The 3,004-nt window shown below is 52.2% G+C and overlaps 1 annotated feature.

The window, feature by feature from the left end:
* Nucleotides 677–1,484: an enhancer, noted in NCBI's record as "H3K4me1 hESC enhancer chr1:17786613-17787420 (GRCh37/hg19 assembly coordinates)". NCBI's record gives its function as "activates a minimal SCP1, AML or CMV promoter by ChIP-STARR-seq in naive H9 embryonic stem cells {active_cell/tissue: H9 hESC(naive)}" and the evidence as "EXISTENCE:reporter gene assay evidence [ECO:0000049][PMID:30033119]".

Here is a 3,004-nt window from a genome sequence, read left to right on the forward strand (position 1 = left end):
TACAACAATTAGCCTGGAGTGGTGGCTTGTGCCTGTATTCCCAGCTATTCGGGAGGCTGAGGTAGGAGAATCACTTGAATCCGAGAGGAAGAGATTGCAGTGAGCTGAGATCACGCCGCTGCACTCTAGCCTGGGCAACTGAGCAAGACTCCATCTCAGAAAGAAAAAAAAAAGTTTTGATTCCCTATCACATGCTTCATAAATTACAATGTCATGAAATCTTCATAACAGCCAAGTCTGGGTAATGGGTATAATACCTTGGGGCAGGTATTATTATTGTTATCATAGCTTTTTTTTTTTTTTTTGAGGTGGAGTTTCACTCTTGTCTCCCAGGCTGGAGGCTGGAGTGCAATGGCGTAATCTCGGCTCACGGCAACCTCTGCCTCCCGGGTTCACACTATTCTCCTGCCTCAGCCTCCCAAGTTGCTGGGATTACAGGCGTGGGTCACCATGCCTGGCTAATTTTTATTTTTCCGAGACAGTCTCGCTCTGTCGCCCAGGCTGGAGTGCAATGGTGCGATCTCAGCTCACTGCAACCTCCACCTCCCAGGTTCAAGAGATTCTCCTGCCTCAGCCTCCCCAGTAGCTGGGACCACAGGTGTGCGCCACCACGCCCAGCTACTTTTTGTATTTTTAGTAGAGATGGGGTTTCACCATGTTGACCAGGCTGGTCTTGAACTCCTGACCTCAGGTGATCCACCCGCCTCGGCCTCCCAAAGTGCTGGGCTGATAGGTGTGAGCCACTCTGCCCGGCCTGTTTTTACCATTGCTATTTTATACGTGCTCAGAGAGATGACCTAAGTTCCCAGAAGTGACACACGGGAAAGCGGCAGAGCTGGATTCAACCCAGGCTTGTGGAATCCCAGAGCCTATGCCCTTCCCTTCGCTGTGTCACATCTTCCTCTAAGGACCCAGTGAAACCCAAGTTCTCTGGGTGTGATTCACTCCCTGGAGTCCTCCGCCATCCAGAGGGTGGGTTCCGGAGTTGCCTCCTTCTCTGCATCCCAATTGGATTCCTCAGAGCCACCGCCTTCCTCCTGCCCAGCTCAGTGCAGGGTGCTCCGGCGCCTGGCATCTGAAGGATGTGCAGGCAGTGGCGTGATAGTGAGTGGGAGGAGGAGCCTCTGATCATCCACCAAGTTCAAACCTGCTTTTCCTGGCATGACCCTCAGCTAGGCAGCCCGGACTCTCCAGATGCCAGCCTGGCCATGCCAGGGGCCAAGGAGGATGCTTCAGGCAAAATCCCCACATGCAAGATGCTGGCTTCCCAGGGCTCCTCCAGGGTGGCAGGTGACAGGCATGTACGCTAGGGAGGGGACATCGGAGCTCTTCAGCCAAGCAACTCTGTTCGGAGAAAAAAGAAAAACCTTCAAGTCCTCGGGAGTGCCTCAAAGCAGAAACCTCAACCTGAAATACAGACCTCATTCAACCTGGCCGTGAATCCTTGCCACACCTTGCATTAGAGAAAGGCTCCTTTCCAAACCATTTCATGTGTGTGTTAAAAACCATTTCTGGGCGGGGCGCGGTGGCTCACGCCGGATCGCCTGAGGTCGGGAGTTCCAGACCAGCCTGGTCAGCATGGTGAAACCCCGTCTCTACTAAAAATACAAAAATTAGCTGGGCGTGGTGGCAGGTGCCTATAATCCCAGCTACTCAGGAAGCTGAGGCAGGAGAGTCGCTTGAACCCTGGAGGTGGAGATTGCAGTGAGCCGAGATCGCGCCACTGCACTCCAGCCTGGGTGACAACAGAGTGAGACTCCATCTCAAAAAAAAAAAAAAAAAAAAGAAAGAAAGAAAGAGAAAGAAGGCCAGGCGCAGTGGCTCATGCCTGTAATCCGAGCACTTTGGGAGGCTGAGGCGGGTGGATCACGAGGTCGGGAGATTGAGACCATCCTGGCTAACACGGTGAAACCCCGTCTCCACTAAAAATACAAAAAATTCTCCAGGCATGGTGGCGGGCGCCTGTAGTCCCAGCTACCCCGGAGGCTGAGGCAGGAGAATGGCGTGAGCCTGGGAGATGGAGCTTGCAGCAAGCCAAGATCGTGCCACTGCACTCCAGCCTGGGCGACAGAGTGAGACTCCATCTCAAAAAAAAAAAAAAAATGAAAGAAAGAAAAGTCTGAATCGATGACTAAACAAATCACAGGACTTTTCAGTAGTTAGTATTTTTTTTTTCAGGCTAGATTCCCCAAAGTAGAATTTCTGGGGTAAAGGGCGTGACTTTTTAAATTTTATTTATTTATTTATTTTAAGATGGCGTCTTGCCCTGTCGCCCAGCCTGGAGTTCAGTGGCACCATCTCGGCTCACTGCAACCTCCACCTCCCAAGTTCAAGCGATTCTCCTGCCTCAGCCTCCGGAGTAGCTGGGATTACAGGCGCACACCACCACGCTCGGCTAATTTTTTGTATCTTTGGTAGAGATGGGGTTTCACCATATTGGCCAGGCTGGTCTCGAACTCCTGACCTCGTGATCAGCCCACCTCGGCCTCCCAAAGTGGTGGGATTACAGGTGTGAGCCACTACGCTCGGCCACGGACATGACTATTTTTAAGACTCTTGATGCAAATTGCACACCCAAAGAGCAGGTGGTGCTTCCTACCTGTCTAAAGCAGTGCACAGCAGGACCCTCTCAGGTCCTGACATCAGTGTTGCATTTAAAATTCCTAACACCTGTCCAGGTGCGGTGGTTCATGCTTTTAATTCCAGCACTTTGGGAGGCCGAGGCAGCAGATCACTTGAGGTCACGAGTTCGAGAGCAGTCTGGCCAACATGGTGAGAGCCCATCTCTACTAAAAATACAAAAATTAGCCAGGCGTGGGCCGGGGGCAGTGGCTCACGCCTGTAATCACAGCACTTTGGGAGGCCGAGGTGGGCGGATCACGAGGTCAGGAGATCGAGACCATCCTGGCTAACACGGTGAAACCCTGACTCTACTAAAAATACCAAAAATTAGCTGGGTGTGGTGGCGGGTGCCTGTAGTCCCAGCTACTCGGGAGGCTGAGGC

The sequence above is a fragment of the Homo sapiens genome, chromosome 1, assembly GCF_000001405.40.
Source record: "Homo sapiens chromosome 1, GRCh38.p14 Primary Assembly".
NCBI classification, from domain to species: domain Eukaryota; kingdom Metazoa; phylum Chordata; class Mammalia; order Primates; family Hominidae; genus Homo; species Homo sapiens.